Here is a 20,320-nt window from a genome sequence, read left to right on the forward strand (position 1 = left end):
CATTCAGGACATAGGCATGGGCAAGGACTTCATGTCTAAAACACCAAAAGCAATGGCAACAAAAGCCAAAATTGACAAATGGGATCTAATTAAACTAAAGAGCTTCTGCACAGCAAAAGAAACTACCATCAGAGTGAACAGGCAACCTACAGAATGGAAGAAAATTTTTGCAACCTACTCATCTGACGAAGGGCTAATATCCAGAATCTACAATGAACTCAAACAAATTTACAAGAAAAAAACAAACAACCCCATCAAAAAGTGGGCGAAGGATATGAACAGATGGTCTGTAGTTTTCTTTTCTGGTTATGTTCTTTCCTGGTTTTGGTATTAGGGTGATGCTGGCTTCATAGAATGAATTAAGGAGGGTTTCCTCTTTCTCTCTCTTGTGAAATAGTGTCAAAAGGATTGGTACCAATTCTTCTTTGAATGTCTGGTAGGATTCCATGGTGAATCCATCTAGTCCTGACTTTTTTGGTTGGTAATTTTTTTAACTGCCATTTTAATCTTGCTGCCTGTTACTGGTGTATTCAAGGTACCTAATTCTTCCTGGTTTAATCTAGGAGGATTGTATTTTTACAGGAATTTATCCATCTCATTTAGGTTTCTAGTTTATGTGCAGAAAGGTGTTCATAGTAGCCTTGAATCTTTTGTATTTCTGTGGTGTCAGTTGTAATATCTTAACGTTTCATTTCTTAATGAGGTCATTTGGATTTTCCCTCTTCTTTTCTTGGTTAATCTTGCTAATGATCTATCAATTTTATTTATTTTTTTCAAAGAACCAGCTTTTTGTTTCATTTATCTTGTAGTTTTTTTGTTTCAATTTCATTTAGTTTTTCTCTTGATATTGGTTATTTCCTTTCATCTCTAGGGTTTGGGTTTGGTTTGTTCTTGTTTCTCTAGTTCCTTGAGGTGTGACCTTAGAATGTCAGTTTGCACTCTTTCAATCTTTTTGATGTAGGCGTTTAGAGCTATGAACTTCCCTTTTAGCACCACTTTTGCTGTATCCCAGAGGTTTGGTTTTTATAGGTTGTGTTATTATTGTCAATCAGATTGAAGAATTTTTTTTTTATTATACTTTAAGTTCTAGGGTACATGTGCACAACGTGCAGGTTTGTTACATATGTATACATGTGCCATGTTGGTGTGCTGCACCCATTAACTTGTCATTTACATTAGGTATATCTCCTAATGCTATCCCTCCCACATCCCCCCACCCCATGACAGGCCCCAGTGTGTGATGTTCCCTTTCCTGTGTCCAAGTGTTCTCATTGTTCAATTCCCACCTATGAGTGAGAACATGCAGTGTTTGGTTTTTTGTCCTTGCAATAGTTTGCTAAGAATGATGGTTTCCAGCTTCATCTATGTCCCTACAAAGGACATGAACTCATCCTTTTTTATGGCTGCATAGTATTCCATGGTGTATATGTGCCACATTTTCTTAATCCAGTCTATCACTGATGGACATTTAGGTTGGTTCCAAGTCTTTGCTATTGTGAATAATGCCGCAATAAACATGCGTGTGCATGTGTCTTTATAGCAGCATGATTTATAATCCTTTGGGTATATACCCAGTAATGGGATGGCTGGGTCAAATGGCATTTCTAGTTCTAGATCCTTGAGGAATCACCACACTGTCTTCCACAATGGATGAACTAGTTTGTAGTCCCACCAACAGTGTAAGAGTGTTCCTATTTCTCCACATCCTCTCCAGCACCTGTTGTTTCCTGACTTTTTAATGATTGCCATTCTAACTGGTGTGGGATGGTATCTCATTGTGGTTTTGATTTGCATTTCTCTGATGGCCAGTGATGATGAGCATTTTTTCATGTGTCTTTTGGCTGCATAAATGTCTTCTTTTGAGAAGTGTCTGTTCATATCCTTCGCCCACTTTTTGATGGGGTTGTTTATTTTTTTCTTGTAAATTTGTTTGAATTATTTGTAGATTCTGGATATTATCCCTTTGTCAGATGAGTAGATTGCAAAAATTTTTTCCCATTCTGTAGGTTGCATGTTCACTCTGGTGGTAGTTTCTTTTGCTGTGTAGAAGCTCTTTAGTTTAGTTACATCCCATTTGCCAATTTTGGCTTTTGTTACCATTGCTTTTGGTGTTTTAGACATGAAGTCCTTGCCCATGCCTATGTCCTAAATGGTATTGCCTAGGTTTTCTTCTAGGGTTTTTATGGTTTTAGATCTAACATTTAAGTCTTTAATTCATCTTGAATTAATTTTTGTATAAGGTGTAAGGAAGGGATCCAGTTTCAGCTTTCTACATATGGCTAGCCAGTTTTCCCAGCACCATTTATTAAACAGGGAATCCTTTCGCCATTTCTTGTTTTTGTCAGGTTTGTCAAAGATCAGATGGTTGTAGATATGTGGTATTATTTCTGAGGGCTCTGTTGTTTTTCATTGGTCTATATCTCTGTTTTGGTACCAGTACCATGCTGTTTTGGTTACTGTAGCCTTGTAGTGTAGTTTGAAGTCAGGTAGCGTCATGCCTCCAGCTTTGTTCTTTTTGCTTAGGATTGACTTGGCAATGCGGGCTCTTTTTTGGTTCCTTATGAACTTTATAGTAGTTTTTTCCAATTCTGTGAAGAAAGTCATTGGTACCTTGATGGAGATGACATTGAATCTATAAATTACCTTGGGCAGTATTGGATGAAATATTCTGTATGTATCTGTTAAGCCTATTTGTTCCAAGGTATAGTTTAAATCCACTGTTTCTTTGTTGACTTTCTGTCTTGGTGACCTGTCTAGTGCTGTCAGTGGAGTATTGAAGTCTCCCACTATTATTGTGTTTCTCCCACTATTATTGTGTTTCTATCTATGGCATTTCTTAGGTCTATTAGTAATTGTTTTATAAATTTGGGAGCTCCAGTGTTAGGTGCATATATGTTTAGGATTGTAATATTTTTCTGTTGAACAAGGCCTTTTATCATAATATAATGGCCCTCTTTGTCTCTTTTAACTGTTGTTGCTTTCATGTCTGTTTTGTCTGATATAAGAATAGCTTCTCCTACTCACTTTTGGTTTCCTTTTGCACGAAATGCCTATTTCCACCCCTTGACTTTAAGTTTATGTGAGTCCTTATGTGTTAGGTGAGTCTCCTGAAGCAGGAGATGGTTGGTGACTTCTTTTCCATTCTGCATTTTTGTATTTTTTAAGTGGGGCATTTAGGCCATTTACATTCAATGTTAGTATTGAGATATGAGGTACCATAGCATTCATCATGCTATTTGTTGCCTGTGTACCTTGTTTTTTTTTTATTTTTTTGTTTTTGCTTTTCAAATTTTATTTTTGTTTCATAGATCCTGTGTGATTGATTTATGCCTTCAAGAGGTTCCATTTTTATGTATTTCCTGGATTTGTTTCAAGATTTAGAGCTCCTTTTAGCAGTTCTTGTAGTGGTGGCTTGGTAGTGGCAAATTCTCTCAGCGTATGTTTGTCTGAAAATGACTGCATCTTTCCTTCATATATGATGCTTAGTTTTGCTGGATACAGAATTCTCGGCTGATAATTGTTTTGTTTGTGGAAGCTGAAGATAGGGCCCCAATCCCTTCTAGCTTGTAGAGTTTCTGCTGAGAAATATGCTGTTTATCTGATAGGTTTTCCTTTATAGGTGACCTGGTGTTTTTGTCTCACAGCTCTTAAGATTCTTTCCTTCTTTGTCTTAACTTTAGATAACCTGATGGCAATGTACCTAGGTGATAATCTTTTTGTAATGAATTTCCCAGGTGTTCTTTTTTTTTTTTTTCACAGCTGTATTTTTTTTTTTCAGTCATTATTTGTTTGTACAGCTGTGTGAATTTTTTTTTTTTTTTTAATTATACTCTAAGTTTTAGGGTACATGTGCACATTGTGCAGGTTAGTTACATATGTATACATGTGCCATGCTGGTGCGCTGCACCCACTAACGTGTCATCTAGCATTAGGTATATCTCCCAATGCTATCCCTCCCCCCTCCCCCGACCCCACCACAGTCCCCAGAGTGTGATATTCCCCTTCCTGTGTCCATGTGATCTCATTGTTCAATTCCCACCTATGAGTGAGAATATGCGGTATTTGGTTTTTTTGTTCTTGCGATAGTTTACTGAGAATGATGGTTTCCAGTTTCATCCATGTCCCTACAAAGGACATGAACTCATCATTTTTTATGGCTGCATAGTATTCCATGGTGTATATGTGCCACATTTTCTTAATCCAGTCTATCATTGTTGGACATTTGGGTTGGTTCCAAGTCTTTGCTATTGTGAATAGTGCCGCAATAAACATATGTGTGCATGTGTCTTTATAGCAGCATGATTTATAGTCCTTTGGGTATATACCCAGTAATGGGATGGCTGGGTCAAATGGTATTTCTAGTTCTAGATCCCTGAGGAATCGCCACACTGACTTCCACAATGGTTGAACTAGTTTACAGTCCCACCAACAGTGTAAAAGTGTTCCTATTTCTCCACATCCTCTCCAGCACCTGTTGTTTCCTGACTTTTTAATGATTGCCATTCTAACTGGTGTGAGATGATATCTCATAGTGGTTTTGATTTGCATTTCTCTGATGGCCAGTGATGATGAGCATTTCTTCATGTGTTTTTTGGCTGCATAAATGTCTTCTTTTGAGAAGTGTCTGTTCATGTCCTTCGCCCACTTTTTGATGGGGTTGTTTGTTTTTTTCTTGTAAATTTGTTTGAGTTCATTGTAGATTCTGGATATTAGCCCTTTGTCAGATGAGTAGGTTGCGAAAATTTTCTCCCATGTTGTAGGTTGCCTGTTCACTCTGATGGTAGTTTCTTTTGCTGTGCAGAAGCTCTTTAGTTTAATTAGATCCCATTTGTCAATTTTGGCTTTTGTTGCCATTGCTTTTGGTGTTTTGGACATGAAGTCCTTGCCCACGCCTATGTCCTGAATGGTAATGCCTAGGTTTTCTTCTAGGGTTTTTATGGTTTTAGGTCTAAAGTTTAAATCTTTAATCCATCTTGAATTGATTTTTGTATAAGGTGTAAGGAAGGGATCCAGTTTCAGCTTTCTACATATGGCTAGCCAGTTTTCACAGCACCATTTATTAAATAGGGAATCCTTTTCCCATTGCTTGTTTTTCTCAGGTTTGTCAAAGATAAGATAGTTGTAGATATGCGGCATTATTTCTGAGGGCTCTGTTCTGTTCCATTGATCTATATCTCTGTTTTGGTACCAGTACCATGCTGTTTTGGTTACTGTAGCCTTGTAGTATCGTTTGAAGTCAGGTAGTGTGATGCCTCCAGCTTTGTTCTTTTGGCTTAGGATTGACTTGGCGATGCGGGCTCTTTTTTGGTTCCATATGAACTTTAAAGTAGTTTTTTCCAATTCTGTGAAGAAAGTCATTGGTAGCTTGATGGGGATGGCATTGAATCTGTAAATTACCTTGGGCAGTATGGCCATTTTCACGATATTGATTCTTCCTACCCATGAGCATGGAATGTTCTTCCATTTGTTTGTGTCCTCTTTTATTTCCTTGAGCAGTGGTTTGTAGTTCTCCTTGAAGAGGTCCTTCACATCCCTTGTAAGTTGGATTCCTAGGTATTTTATTCTCTTTGAAGCAATTGTGAATGGGAGTTCACCCATGATTTGGCTCTCTGTTTGTCTGTTGTTGGTGTATAAGAATGCTTGTGATTTTTGTACATTGATTTTGTATCCTGAGACTTTGCTGAAGTTGCTTATCAGCTTAAGGAGATTTTGGGCTGAGACGATGGGGTTTTCTAGATAAACAATCATGTCGTCTGCAAACAGGGACAATTTGACTTCCTCTTTTCCTAATTGAATACCCTTTATTTCCTTCTCCTGCCTGATTGCCCTGGCCAGAACTTCCAACACTATGTTGAATAGGAGCGGTGAGAGAGGGCATCCCTGTCTTGTGCCAGTTTTCAAAGGGAATGCTTCCAGTTTTTGCCCATTCAGTATGATATTGGCTGTGGGTTTGTCATAGATAGCTCTTATTATTTTGAGATACGTCCCATCAATACCTAATTTATTGAGAGTTTTTAGCATGAAGGGTTGTTGAATTTTGTCAAAGGCTTTTTCTGCATCTATTGAGATAATCATGTGGTTTTTGTCTTTGGCTCTGTTTATATGCTGGATTACATTTATTGATTTGCGTATATTGAACCAGCCTTGCATCCCAGGGATGAAGCCCACTTGATCATGGTGGATAAGCTTTTTGATGTGCTGCTGGATTCAGTTTGCCAGTATTTTATTGAGGATTTTTGCATCAATGTTCATCAAGGATATTGGTCTAAAATTCTCTTTTTTGGTTGTGTCTCTGCCCAGCTTTGGTATCAGAATGATGCTGGCCTCATAAAATGAGTTAGGGAGGATTCCCTCTTTTTCTATTGATTGGAATAGTTTCAGAAGGAATGGTACCAGTTCCTCCTTGTACCTCTGGTAGAATTCGGCTGTGAATCCATCTGGTCCTGGACTCTTTTTGGTTGGTAAACTATTGATTATTGCCACAATTTCGGAGCCTGTTATTGGTCTATTCAGAGATTCAACTTCTTCCTGGTTTAGTCTTGGGAGAGTGTATGTGTCGAGGAATGTATCCATTTCTTCTAGATTTTCTAGTTTATTTGCGTAGAGGTGTTTATAGTATTCTCTGATGGTAGTTTGTATTTCTGTGGGATCGGTGGTGATATCCCCTTTATCATTTTTTATTGTGTCTATTTGATTCTTCTCTCTTTTTTTCTTTATTAGTCTTGCTAGCGGTCTATCAATTTTGTTGATCCTTTCAAAAAACCAGCTCCTGGATTAATTAATTTTTTGAAGGGTTTTTTGTGTCTCTATTTCCTTCAGTTCTGCTCTGATTTTAGTTATTTCTTGCCTTCTGCTAGCTTTTGAATGTGTTTGCTCTTGCTTTTCTAGTTCTTTTAATTGTGATGTTAGGGTGTCAATTTTGGATCTTTCCTGCTTTCTCTTGTAGGCATTTAGTGCTATAAATTTCCCTCTACACACTGCTTTGAATGCGTCCCAGAGATTCTGGTATGTGGTGTCTTTGTTCTCGTTGGTTTCAAAGAACATCTTTATTTCTGCCTTCATTTCGTTATGTACCCAGTAGTCATTCAGGAGCAGGTTGTTCAGTTTCCATGTAGTTGAGCGGCTTTGAGTGAGATTCTTAATCCTGAGTTCTAGTTTGATTGCACTGTGGTCTGAGAGATAGTTTGTTATAATTTCTGTTCTTTTACATTTGCTGAGGAGAGCTTTACTTCCAACTATGTGGTCAATTTTGGAATAGGTGTGGTGTGGTGCTGAAAAAAATGTATATTCTGTTGATTTGGGGTGGAGAATTCTGTAGATGTCTATTAGGTCTGCTTGGTGCAGAGCTGAGTTCAATTCCTGGGTGTCCTTGTTGACTTTCTGTCTCGTTGATCTGTCTAATGTTGACAGTGGGGTGTTAAAGTCTCCCATTATTAATGTGTGGGAGTCTAAGTCTCTTTGTAGGTCACTGAGGACTTGCTTTATGAATCTGGGTGCTCCTGTATTGGGTGCATAAATATTTAGGATAGTTAGCTCCTCTTGTTGAATTGATCCCTTTACCATTATGTAATGGCCTTCTTTGTCTCTTTTGATCTTTGTTGGTTTAAAGTCTGTTTTATCAGAGACTAGGATTGCAACCCCTGCCTTTTTTTGTTTTCTATTGGCTTGGTAGATCTTCCTCCATCCTTTTATTTTGAGCCTATGTGTGTCTCTGCACATGAGATGGGTTTCCTGAATACAGCACACTGATGGGTCTTGACTCTTTATCCAACTTGCCAGTCTGTGTCTTTTAATTGCAGAATTTAGTCCATTTATATTTAAAGTTAATATTGTTATGTGTGAATTTGATCCTGTCATTATGATGTTAGCTGGTGATTTTGCTCATTAGTTGATGCAGTTTCTTCCTAGTCTCGATGGTCTTTACATTTTGGCATGATTTTGCAGCAGCTGGTACCGGTTGTTCCTTTCCATGTTTAGCGCTTCCTTCAGGAGCTCTTTTAGGGCAGGCCTGGTGGTGACAAAATCTCTCAGCATTTGCTTGTCTATAAAGTATTTTATTTCTCCTTCACTTATGAAGCTTAGTTTGGCTGGATATGAAATTCTGGGTTGAAAATTCTTTTCTTTAAGAATGTTGAATATTGGCCCCCACTCTCTTCTGGCTTGTAGGGTTTCTGCCGAGAGATCCGCTGTTAGTCTGATGGGCTTTCCTTTGAGGGTAACCTGACCTTTCTCTCTGGCTGCCCTTAACATTTTTTCCTTCATTTCAACTTTGGTGAATCTGACAATTATGTGTCTTGGAGTTGCTCTTCTCGAGGAATATCTTTGTGGCGTTCTCTGTATTTCCTGAATCTGAACGTTGGCCTGCCTTGCTAGATTGGGGAAGTTCTCCTGGATAATATCCTGCAGAGTGTTTTCCAACTTGGTTCCATTCTCCACATCACTTTCAGGTACACCAATCAGACGTAGATTTGGTCTTTTCACATAGTCCCATATTTCTTGGAGGCTTTGCTCATTTCTTTTTATTCTTTTTTCTCTAAACTTCCCTTCTCGCTTCATTTCATTCATTTCATCTTCCATTGCTGATACCCTTTCTTCCAGTTGATCGCATCGGCTCCTGAGGCTTCTGCATTCTTCACGTAGTTCTCGAGCCTTGGTTTTCAGCTCCATCAGCTCCTTTAAGCACTTCTCTGTATTGGTTATTCTAGTTATACATTCTTCTAAATTTTTTTCAAAGTTTTCAACTTCTTTGCCTTTGGTTTGAATGTCCTCCCGTAGCTCAGAGTAATTTGATCGTCTGAAGCCTTCTTCTCTCAGCTCGTCAAAATCATTCTCCATCCAGCTTTGTTCTGTTGCTGGTGCAGAACTGCGTTCCTTTGGAGGAGGAGAGGCGCTCTGCGTTTTAGAGTTTCCAGTTTTTCTGTTCTGTTTTTTCCCCATCTTTGTGGTTTTATCTACTTTTGGTCTTTGATGATGGTGATGTACAGATGGGTTTTCGGTGTAGATGTCCTTTCTGTTTGTTAGTTTTCCTTCTAACAGACAGGACCCTCAGCTGCAGGTCTGTTGGAATACCCTGCCGTGTGAGGTGTCAGTGTGCCCCTGCTGGGGGGTGCCTCCCAGTTAGGCTGCTCGGGGGTCAGGGGTCAGGGACCCACTTGAGGAGGCAGTCTGCCCGTTCTCAGATCTCCAGCTGCGTGCTGGGAGAACCACTGCTCTCTTCAAAGCTGTCAGACAGGGACACTTAAGTCTGCAGAGGTTACTGCTGTCTTTTTGTTTGTCTGTGCCCTGCCCCCAGAGGTGGAGCCTACAGAGGCAGGCAGGCCTCCTTGAGCTGTGGTGGGCTCCCCCCAGTTCGAGCTTCCAGGCTGCTTTGTTTACCTAAGCAAGCCTGGGCAATGGCGGGCGCCCCTCCCCCAGCCTCGTTGCCGCCTTGCAGTTTGATCTCAGACTGCTGTGCTAGCAATCAGCGAGATTCCGTGGGCGTAGGACCCTCTGAGCCAGTTGTGGGATATAGTCTCGTGGTGCGCGGTTTCTTAAGCCGGTCTGAAAAGCGCAATATTCGGGTGGGAGTGACCCGATTTTCCAGGTGCGTCCATCACCCCTTTCTTTGACTCAGAAAGGGAACTCCCTGACCCCTTGTGCTTCCCGGTGAGGCAATGCCTTGCCCTGCTTCGGCTCGCGCATGGTGCGCACACACACTGGCCTGCGCCCACTGTCTGGCACTCCCTAGTGAGATGAACCCGGTACCTCAGATGGAAATGCAGAAATCACCCGTCTTCTGCGTCGCTCACGCTGGGAGCTGTAGACCGGAGCTGTTCCTATTCGGCCATCTTTGCTCCTCCTCCCCCAGGTGTTCTTTGTGCTTCTTGTATTTGGATGTCTAGGCCTCTATCAAGGCCAGGGAAGTTTTCCCCTATTGCTCCTCCAAATATGTTTTCAAAACTTTTAGAATTCCCTTCTTCCTTAGGAATACCAATTATTCTTTAGGTTTGGTCATTTAACATAATCTCAGACTTCGTAGGGGCTTTGTTCATTTTTTCTTATTCTTTTTTCTTTGTCTTTGTTGGATTGGGTTAATTTGAAGACCTTGTCTTCAGACTCTGAATTTTTTTCTTCTACTTGTTCAATTCTATTGATGAGACTTTCCAGAGGATTTTGCATTTCTATAAGTGTGTCCAGTGTTTCCTGAAGTTTTGATTGTTTTTTCTTTATGCTATGCTATCTATTTCCTTGAATATTTATCCCTTCACTTCTTATTTTTTTTGTTGTTGTTGTTGTTTTTATTATTTCCTTTCACTGGGCTTCACCTTTCTCTGGTGCCTCCCTGATTAGCTTAATAACTAACCTCCTGAATTCGTTTTCAGGTAAATCAGGGATTTTTTTTTATCTTGGCTTGGATCCATTGCTGGTGAGCTAGTGTGATTTTTTTGGGGTGTTAAAGAACCTTGTTTTGTCATATTACCTGAGTTGGGTTTCTGGTTCCTTCTCATTTGAGTGGGCTCTGTCAGAGGGAAACTCTAGGGCTGAAGGCTGTTCTTCAGATTCTTTTGTCTCAAAGGGTGTTCCCCCATCTCTCCCTCCTTTTTTATGGATGTGGCTTCCTGTGAGCTGAGCTGCAGTGATTGTTATCTCTCTTTTGGGTCTAGCCACCCAGCAAGTCTACCTGGCTCTGGGCTGATACTGGAGGTTGTCTGCACAGAGTCCTGTGATGCGAACTGTGTATGGGTCTCTCTGCTGTGAATACCAGCACAGTATTTGGGGTGTCTCCCGGGTCCTGCAGGAGCAGTCCATTTCCTTCAGAGGGTCTGTGGGTCCTCTTGGGATTCCTGGTGTGTTCATGAAGGGTGCTGGAGCCAAAATTCATGATGCAAGCCTCCACATGCTGCTCTGTCCATCCGAGTCTGAGCTGCAATTACTCCTGACTCTTGTCCACCATGATGATCCTACGAACCTTTTTTAAAATTATTGTTATTAAAAACAACAAAACACCAAACTTTTCTCCTTTTTATTTTTTTTCTTGCTTCACTTTTAAATCTCAAATTAGTCATTATAGGAGTCAAGTCGCATTGAAATCAGATATGTAGTAAGAGTTTAGATATGGATAAGATTGAAAGTGTGGTCATCAGGGTTTTGGAGGATTTTGCTGATAATAGGATATGTCAGACTTGAAGACCAGAGGGTGGCAGGAATGTGGTCAGGTTCAGGCCCTGGGTTGAAGACATAGGCAGGGATGGTAGGAGGGAATTATTGTAGATCCTATGTGTCCTAACATCAAGTCCTAGGTTCAACTGAATTGGTGGTTTTAAATGGGGAGTTTGGAAATGGAAATTAATCTAAGAGGGTTATTTCTGCTTTTCTGTTGCTTACAGATTCTTAAGACCCCTCTCTTTCTATTCCTTTCTTATGAGTACCCCTTTCAGCTTACTATTGCTAAGGAAAGGATCTTCTCAAGGGAAACTGTCTTACTTGCCCTAGGAGCCCTGGATGGGAACTCCCCTCCTCAACGCCAGGATGTAGACCATGATTTCTTCCTCCTCTTCAGTGTGGTAGATGAGAACCTCAGCTGGCATCTCAATGAGAACATTGCCACTTACTGCTCAGATCCTGCTTCAGTGGACAAAGAAGATGAGACATTTCAGGAGAGCAATAGGATGCATGGTGAGTTGGGAAAAGGTGGCCACATTGTGACAGGGAACATTGTTGGAGGGTATCCACTGGGCCTAGTATTTGGTGGATGCTTTCACATACATAGTCCTTTTTAGTCATCACGAGGGCAAGGAGTAGTAGATGGCTCTTCCCTGTTTTACATGTGAGGACACTGAGGCTCCTAAGATTATGCAGCAGATAAATGGCACAGCTAAAATTCCAACCTTGGTCTCTCTGACTGCATAGATTGTGCTCTTGCCATTAGGCTATTCTGCCTCATAATGTGGAATAGCACACAGTCTAAAGTTATATAGTATATGGTCAATTACTTTGCTGTGGGTTGCCCACTGATACAATTAATCAATATTGATTTGTTTTAAAAAGGAAGAAGTTAGCAGAATTATCCACTTTGTGGAGAAAAATGGTTTCTTTCAAGCTACCTTGCTTATATCTCCCATCGTACTCTGTGCTTATGTCTATAAGGACATTGACCATATTAATTAAATTGAAAAAGAAACTAAAGGCACAGAAGAACCGAGGCATGAATATTGAACTGATTTTAGGAATATAAACAAGTCAGTTTTGTTTTTGTTTCATTAAGGAAGTCATTTACTGGCCATTCATGACAGGGGTGGGCTAAAAACCATACAGTCCCCAAAGGAGGTGGAAATTCAGAAGGAAGATGTAAAGGATGGCTTGGATAGCTCAACTTTTTCTTGAATTTTATACCAATTGATTATAAAAGCCATGTTAATTAGTCAGCCAATTTGACAATTGTCCTGTGGAAATTTTTAGAATGAAACCACCCTGAAAGAATAGCCTGCAAAATAACTAAATTCCTTAGAGAGCTTCTTCACATTTCTGGTTTGGAATATTGGCTGTAAGCATTTATTAGCTCTATGGCATTGGGAAAGAAGTAACTTCACCTCTCTGAGTCTTGGTTTTCTCTCTCTCTCTCTTTTTTAATGAGACTAATGATATCTGCCTATTTCTCAGGGATGTTTTTGAGATTTAAAGAAGATAATACATAGGTCAACACAGTGTGCTGTTTATAACCTCATTTAAATATTATCTATTATTGTCAAATGGTAAGGCTTCTTCCATTTGGCTGTCCTTTCCTAATCCTGATATTTTCTTTGGGTTTTCTTTTGCAGCAATCAATGGCTTTGTTTTTGGGAATTTACCTGAGCTGAACATGTGTGCACAGAAACGTGTGGCCTGGCACTTGTTTGGCATGGGCAATGAAATTGATGTCCACACAGCATTTTTCCATGGACAGATGCTGACTACCCGTGGACACCACACTGATGTGGCTAACATCTTTCCAGCCACCTTTGTGACTGCTGAGATGGTGCCCTGGGAACCTGGTACCTGGTTAATTAGCTGCCAAGTGAACAGTCACTTTCGAGGTGAGATCCAACATTTCTGACCATTGGGTTGTAAGAGAGAGGTATGATAATGGTCAAGGGAGGCTGGGTTTCTGGCCTGAAGCCATAAATAAGTCCTCCAGTTGAGGCATCTTGGGATAAAGGATAGCACACTAGATTAGAAGTCAGGGGACCCAGGTTTTTTCCTGAATCTGCTGGGAAACTTGCTGGATAACTTTGGGCACATCTCTCTGTGTTTAATCTTCCCCATCTTGAACATAAGACAGCCTGGGGATGGATAAGTAGACTTTTAATCAGCTTTTTATTATTTGCTTAGAATTCTAAACAATTAATACCTGGAGACATTTTCAACATATTGAACAGGGAGTGAAGGAGAGATTAATTAAAAGAGAGTAACATTTCTGTAGGAGATCATGGTGTATTGTGGGTACATAGTTACACTCTGGTTGGAACTCAATAGAAGTAGGAGTGGAAGGTTTTATTTTCAAAGGGAGAAACATTAATGTCATTGCAGAGCAATGTATTGAGGAGCATCAGATGCATCAGAGGGGAGGAAGAGCGTATGAAGCAATGGAAAGAATAGTAGATAAGTGGTTAGGTTTGAATGGTAGTCTTAAGTTTGTGAAAAACTTTATATGACTTTAGACAGGTGTCTTTCCATTTCTAGGTCACATTTGCCACATCCGTAAAATGGGAAAGTTGGTCTAAATCGTCTCTTAAATCCTCTTCAGCTGTCATTTTCTAGAATTATTTGATTTATGGTAAATTAGAAGGGTGTCAGAAAAATGATATGTGAGTACTTGAAGTGGATTTTAGTAGGTTAGGAGTTGTAGACTAATAGGATAATAAATCTTGGGTGTTAGGTTTGACACAATAGGGGACAGTTACATGTACTCCATTATCCAGGGTATGTCTTAGCCCCAAAGCTTCCTAGGTAAGAGAGTATAAATATGGATTGGGATTAGAGATGCAGCATGATAGTGGAATAAGCATAGACCTTAGAGACAGACATGCTTGGATTCAAATCCTCGTTCCATCACTTGTTTAGCCACCTTTGATAAATCATTTCACTTCTCTGAGCCTCTTAATAGAAGTAGTGATGTATACCTCATAAAATTGTAATGAGGTTTTAGAGTAAAAATGTGATTTTGGATCTTAGAGAATAGGGGGATGATATAAACAAGATAGTAGATATAAGAAAATAAAATGAACAATTAAGATCTGTAGTTGAAAGATGAGAGTTTAACTCTCAACTCCACCTCTGACTAGCTGTGCAACCTTGGGCAAGTTATTTAACCTGTCTGACCTTTAGTTTTCTTCATCCGCAAAAGGGGACATTAAAAGTCTATTTCATACAATGGTTGTAAGGATTGATAGAGATAACATATGTACTCCCTGGGACTGAAATTTTAAAAAAGATGTAAAGCACCTGACACAGAACCTACCTAACATAATACATGTTGAAGAAAATAAATATTTTTTCCTCTCCCTTCATCATACCTCAAGTTTCTAATTTACAAATTTCAAATCTCCCTGGGATGCTGTGGGATGCTAATAAAATAATATAGCTGAGTGACCTCTATAAGTTGCTAAGCCAATATAAGACAGTACCATCCATTGCCATTGTGACGCAATGTAGTATATTCCACATTTGAAAACACTACTTAGAATCTACATTTTCCTTACGGTCCCAAGTCTGAAGCTTTATCTTCACTGATAGAAGATGTTCTATTATTTTGGGAGCTTCCCAGTTTACAAATAATTAACCCCTATTTTAAATTTGATGCTCCTACCAGCCCCATGAGGTGGATTTTCCTATTCTCTCCTTTGGCAAAAGAGGGAAGCTCAGATTGAGGAAGTGACTTGCCTAAGGTCCTACAGATAGTGCTTAAAGCTTGGGCTTGAACTCGAGTTTCCTTACTTCTGTCTCTGTGATGTTGCTACAATGTGAGCCTTTATGAAGAGGCAGGAATGAGTATCTAGTAAATGCATCAGTGGTGGTATAAGCAAGTGGAGGTACCTGAATTCTACCCTGGACTCTCTCTCTCAGCCATGCACTTTAAGAGTGAGAGAAAGCGGCCCATTTTGGAGCAGGAGTAAAGAGAGTAGTGGAGGGTGGGTGGAGGAAACACTAACAGAAGGAGGAAGGTGAGTCCTCTGGGTTAAAATCCTATTGGATAGAATGGGGTCAGCCATAATGTTCTTCCTTCAGATGGCATGCAGGCACTCTACAAGGTCAAGTCTTGCTCCATGGCCCCTCCTGTGGACCTGCTCACAGGCAAAGTTCGACAGTACTTCATTGAGGCCCATGAGATTCAATGGGACTATGGCCCGATGGGGCATGATGGGAGTACTGGGAAGAATTTGAGAGAGCCAGGCAGGTAAGAGGCAGTGGGATCCCTCTCTTTAATTCTTTAATTGGTCCAGCTCCAAACATTTATTATCTTTCTTCCAGAAATCTCTCACTTTACTCAGGGATCCAAATCATTGTCTGGCTGGGGTTACATGAACCAACTGTTAGCCAAGTTCTTGTGTCCCCCTGGAGAGCTTGCTCTTGGGGAGATACAGGTAGCAAAGCTTTTTGTGGGGTTATTCCATATCCCCACAAAGGGTCCAAACAGAGTTTGAAGTTGGTCCTACTATAATTCCTGGCCATTTTCATAAAGGAAAGCCCAGGTGGGACCAGTTCTTGTATCAGTTGAAATAGCTTTTATTCCAGGTTTCTTCACTTTACCCATTATTTACCTCCTTGCTCCTTCATTTCTTTTCTATAGTCTGAATGAGGCATTTGAGCAGGGGTATAAAAAGCACTCTGAGAAATGTAGGAAGAGAGGCAGCCTGCTTTTTGGCTATCACATGCCCATTCTTTTGAAGGAATTTCTCCAAGTTCTCCTGCCTCATCCATGACCCAGATATGGGCAAGATAGAGTAGGAGGTTAGTGCCCTACTCAGTTGCTGGGTCTTAAGTCATACCACTCACTGGGAAATCGATGATGACAGGTCTTCCACAGAGGAGGCACTTGATAGGTAACTAAGAGAGGGGTTGGGGGAAGATCCTTCATGGTTATACTTCTAGCAGGAAATAATAGAGTAAATCTGGAGAAAACTTAGGAAAGTTGGTGTTTGAGTCTCAGCATGGATTCTACGATTTCCAGCTGGGCTTATTAACATAGTGGGCTTTCATTTTGGAGTGAAAGGATTATTAATACCTAAGGATGATTAAGGACAGATGTAGACTATGAATCTCTGGAGGGCAGAACTGGTCCCAGTGCCTGGAAATTATAAGCAAGAATATTCCAACTTACACTAAAATAGAATTCCAATAATTTAAAATATCCAACAGTAAGGGAGATTGTCTCCTCTGGATATGAGTTTCCTATTTTTGGAAAGGCTCAAGCAGAAGCTGTATATAACTTTCTAGTGGTGCCACCAAAGGAGATATCTTCACTGGTGGGAGTTAACTTAGATGAGCTCTGAGGTCCTTCCTAAATATAAAGATTCATAACTTGGTGAGACTAAGGGTGAGATGGGAGTCTATTTGATACCTAATGAAATAATATCATATTTTCCTTTTTATACATCAGTATCTCAGATAAGTTTTTCCAGAAGAGCTCCAGCCGAATTGGGGGCACTTACTGGAAAGTGCGATATGAAGCCTTTCAAGATGAGACATTCCAAGAGAAGATGCATTTGGAGGAAGATAGGCATCTTGGAATCCTGGGTGAGGAATTTTTAAATTATGAAATTCATTTACTAGAGCCAGAGAATTGAGGAAGACTTTGAAACTGAGGCCTGGACATCACTTAGGAGCACATTGTAGACCAGCATCTCCCAAAGTGAGTCTTATGAGATGATTGTTTTGTGAAAGAGTTATGAGTCTGAATGTGTTTTAAAACCACTAAGTTAAGCAGTTAAATAGTGCTTTTTATGCTACAGGATTTCTAGGAGCCTTAGGTTTATTTTTGTTTATCATGAATCTCCACTTTTTTTCAGTGAATATCTTCCAATACCACTGATGTACAGTACACATTTTTAGAATTCCTTCTCTAGAAGTATTCCTAAAGGGCTATATAAGGAAGTAAGACTGTATAGGTTCTCAGCAATCTGGGGCCAGTAGCAGATTGGCATGACATGCAGACATACTTGAAATAGGAGGAATGCAGAATAGGCTTAGAGTCTGAACTTGAAGAAGGTATCTAGAAGGGCTAAACCAAGGTTAGAAGTGGTTTAGTAGCATGATGGAACCAGAAAATAAAATAGGCCAGATGGAAAAAAAACTTTGGAAATTAATATAATGGACCATACTCGGGATAGGTGTGTGCCAGTTGATTCTAGATCTGATAATGGACAATAGATCTTACATCAGCTGGATAGGGAGATACAATGAGGAGAAATCCACCATAGGAAGGAGAGATGGTGGTGAGCCTGAAGGAATTATCATTGGCTGGACTTCAGTATGAGTGCCCAGTCTTTGAGATGAGGTGAAACATTAGATGTGGAAATTGAATAGGAAACCAAGCTAGAAACTCTGACCAAGAGTTAGAGCCGGAATAAGTGCCCAGTTTTGGTACTTTTTGTCTGCTTCAAAGATGACCTAAGCTAGATTACATGTGGTGGGTAATGAAGTTCAGAAGAGTCCAGGAGTTGTGGCTAGATTACCTAGTACAGTGCCTGGATAGAAGATATCATAATTCTCTTTGCTCAGAATTGGTTTCAGATTGAGGCAAGCACAGATCTTAGATAGGTCCACAAAGACATGTAGCTATGGGATCTGGGACAATAAAGTAAGTGAAAATGAGATTGGGGCTGACAATGGGATGAGAGAAATTGCTGGCCTCTGGTCCTGGCTGAATGGCTTATCAACCATTTAAATTTGCATAGGTAAATTCCACTTCTCTCAGCTGAAATTTTCTCATCTGTAAATTGGAGTTAATAATTTTTGCCCTATATGCCTTAAAATGATGTTTGAGAATCAAAATAAGATAATGGATTTCCCAGTGTTTTCTGTAATTGTAAATTGCAATATACTTGAAAGGAATTGTTCTTATTATTACAAAGAAAAGTTTTTTATTTTCTTCTTCACTTTCACTTTCCTTTTCTTTCCCTCCCTCTTCTTCCATTTCCTTCCTCCCTGTTTATCCCTTTCATCATTCTCATTGTCTCTCCTTCCCATTTTCCAGGGCCAGTGATCCGGGCTGAGGTGGGTGACACCATTCAGGTGGTCTTCTACAACCGTGCCTCCCAGCCATTCAGCATGCAGCCCCATGGGGTCTTTTATGAGAAAGACTATGAAGGCACTGTGTACAATGATGGTGAGCCAACAGGGTTTCTAGTAAATGTGGGCTCTAGGTGGTACCATGTGTCTCTAGAAAACAAATAAATGGGAGATGGAGAGGATGAAGTAGGCAGAATTATTTGCCATATGTGGATGTTGTTGAATGAATGAATAATATAATAGTAAAACAGAGCTGGGCTTCAATAATAAGAGAAAATTTCTTTTAAATATATTTAAATATATCCTAATTTTAAAAATAAGTTTATTATAGAACTCTGAAAAGCAGACAATTACAAAGTAAATAAGCATCATTTATAGATTGTCATATAAATTTTGATATACCTTTAAATATTTTTATGTGCTTATACAAGTCTATATATAGAGATATGTGATCATATGGTTTGTACAGTTTTGCATCCTACTATTCTCAGTTACCATTGTATTGTGTTTGTTTTTCTATGCCATTAAAATGCTACAAACATTTTAATGACTATAAAACACTTTATCTCAAGGATTTGTCGAAATTTATTTACTTTTTCCTCTATTGCTTGGACATGTAGGTTTTTTTCAGTATTTTTGAATATTGTAAGTCAGGTTGCAATGAATGAATGCATATATCCTAGCTTGCATTTTGGATTACTGTATCAGGAGAGAATCTTAGAAGTGAGAGTATTGTGTAATTGATTTTTTACTTTATCTAAGAATATTAATGCATGCTAATTCTAGCCAAACTATAAAAGAAAAACTGAAAGCATAAAGAGCAAAGTTGCAGACAAATCTAGAATGAACATTCTATAAGGCAACTGGTCTAGTCTCTTCAAGAAGTCAATACCATCAATAAGGGGATTAGAGACATAACAAATGAAATGTGCAAATTTTGATTGATTCTGCTTGTAAAAATAGCTTTAGGAGACATTTTGGAGATAATTGCAAAATTCTTGATATAGACTGGATATTAGATGTTATTAGGGAATTTTCTTAGGTGGAATAATGGCATTATAGCGACATAGGAGATGCGTGCTAATATCATGATGTTTGTATTCTACTTCCAAGTGATTCAACAAAAGCAAACAAACAAAAACTGTATGTATGTGTGTGTAGATGTATATACACATAGAGTAGATAAATAAAGATGGCAAAATGTTAGCAATAGACTCTAGGTGATAGGTTGATCATTGCACTATTTTTTAAAGTTTTCTGTATATTTGAAAATTTGAAAAGTAAGAAATAATGAATGAATAAGGAAAGGTAGGTTAAAACCATCCTAAATTATAGCCCCTTGTTATAAGCTATACTAGAAATATCCTTCCATATGTTTCTTTGAATGTTTTTATAAACCTTTCTTCAGAATATATTTTTAAGTTGGGGAATTGCTATATCAGAGGCTATGTACATTAAAATTTTTGGTACCTACACCCAAATTACTCTCTGGAAAGATTTGCAGTCCTATCAGTTTAGAGTTCCATTAGCAGTACCTGAGGAGGACTCCTTTTCTTACAACCTCATCAGCACTGGGGAAATCTTTTTAATCTTGTCAAAATGACAGTCTTGTAGGCAAACGACAGCATCAACAAAACTCACTGTTGTTTTGATTTACATTTGTTTGATTATTTCATGTTGAACATTCAGTATTTATTGCATATATTATTCTACTTGTGCATATGAACCTTTTAAAGAAATAGCTTTGTCTACATTTTGGTGTACTTTTTTTTTTTCAAATTTTGTCTATATTTTTTTTCAAGTGTTATTCCCTTTTACATTTACACTCTTTATAGGTGAGTGAGTAGGGTAGGTGCCATCTAAACCACTTCTTACCATCATGCATTATTACAATTTGTAAAATCTTTGCTAAATTAATTTGTAAAAAAGTTATCTAGCTATTTTCAATTGTACTTCTTTGATTACTGATGGCATGAAAATTTGAAAAAGGTCTGTGCATTGCTTGACCATGTCTTGTGTCCATTTTAGAAATTACAGCCTTAGTGTTTTATATATATATGTATATATATACATA

General features: G+C 39.1%; 1 protein-coding gene across 26 annotated transcripts in view; it reads left to right on the forward strand.

The window, feature by feature from the left end:
• HEPH (hephaestin) overlaps positions 1 to 20,320 on the forward strand; it is a 106,193-nt gene that overhangs the window by 14,216 nt on the left and 71,657 nt on the right. For 25 of the 26 annotated variants that reach the window (NR_159801.2, NR_159802.2, NR_159800.1 and 22 more), the window contains 5 exons: positions 11,473 to 11,655; positions 12,798 to 13,052; positions 15,244 to 15,412; positions 16,616 to 16,752; positions 18,212 to 18,343. Coding sequence is in view for 23 of the 26 variants with exons in the window: in XM_047442695.1 (XP_047298651.1) it covers positions 11,473 to 11,655; positions 12,798 to 13,052; positions 15,244 to 15,412; positions 16,616 to 16,752; positions 18,212 to 18,343 (876 nt within the window). In the remaining 3 variants the exon portion in view is untranslated. The remainder of the gene's footprint in view (positions 1 to 11,472; positions 11,656 to 12,797; positions 13,053 to 15,243; positions 15,413 to 16,615; positions 16,753 to 18,211; positions 18,344 to 20,320) is intronic. The other variant, NM_001367236.3, reaches the window with a different exon arrangement.

The sequence above is a fragment of the Homo sapiens genome, chromosome X (assembly GCF_000001405.40).
Source record: "Homo sapiens chromosome X, GRCh38.p14 Primary Assembly".
Taxonomy (NCBI): domain Eukaryota; kingdom Metazoa; phylum Chordata; class Mammalia; order Primates; family Hominidae; genus Homo; species Homo sapiens.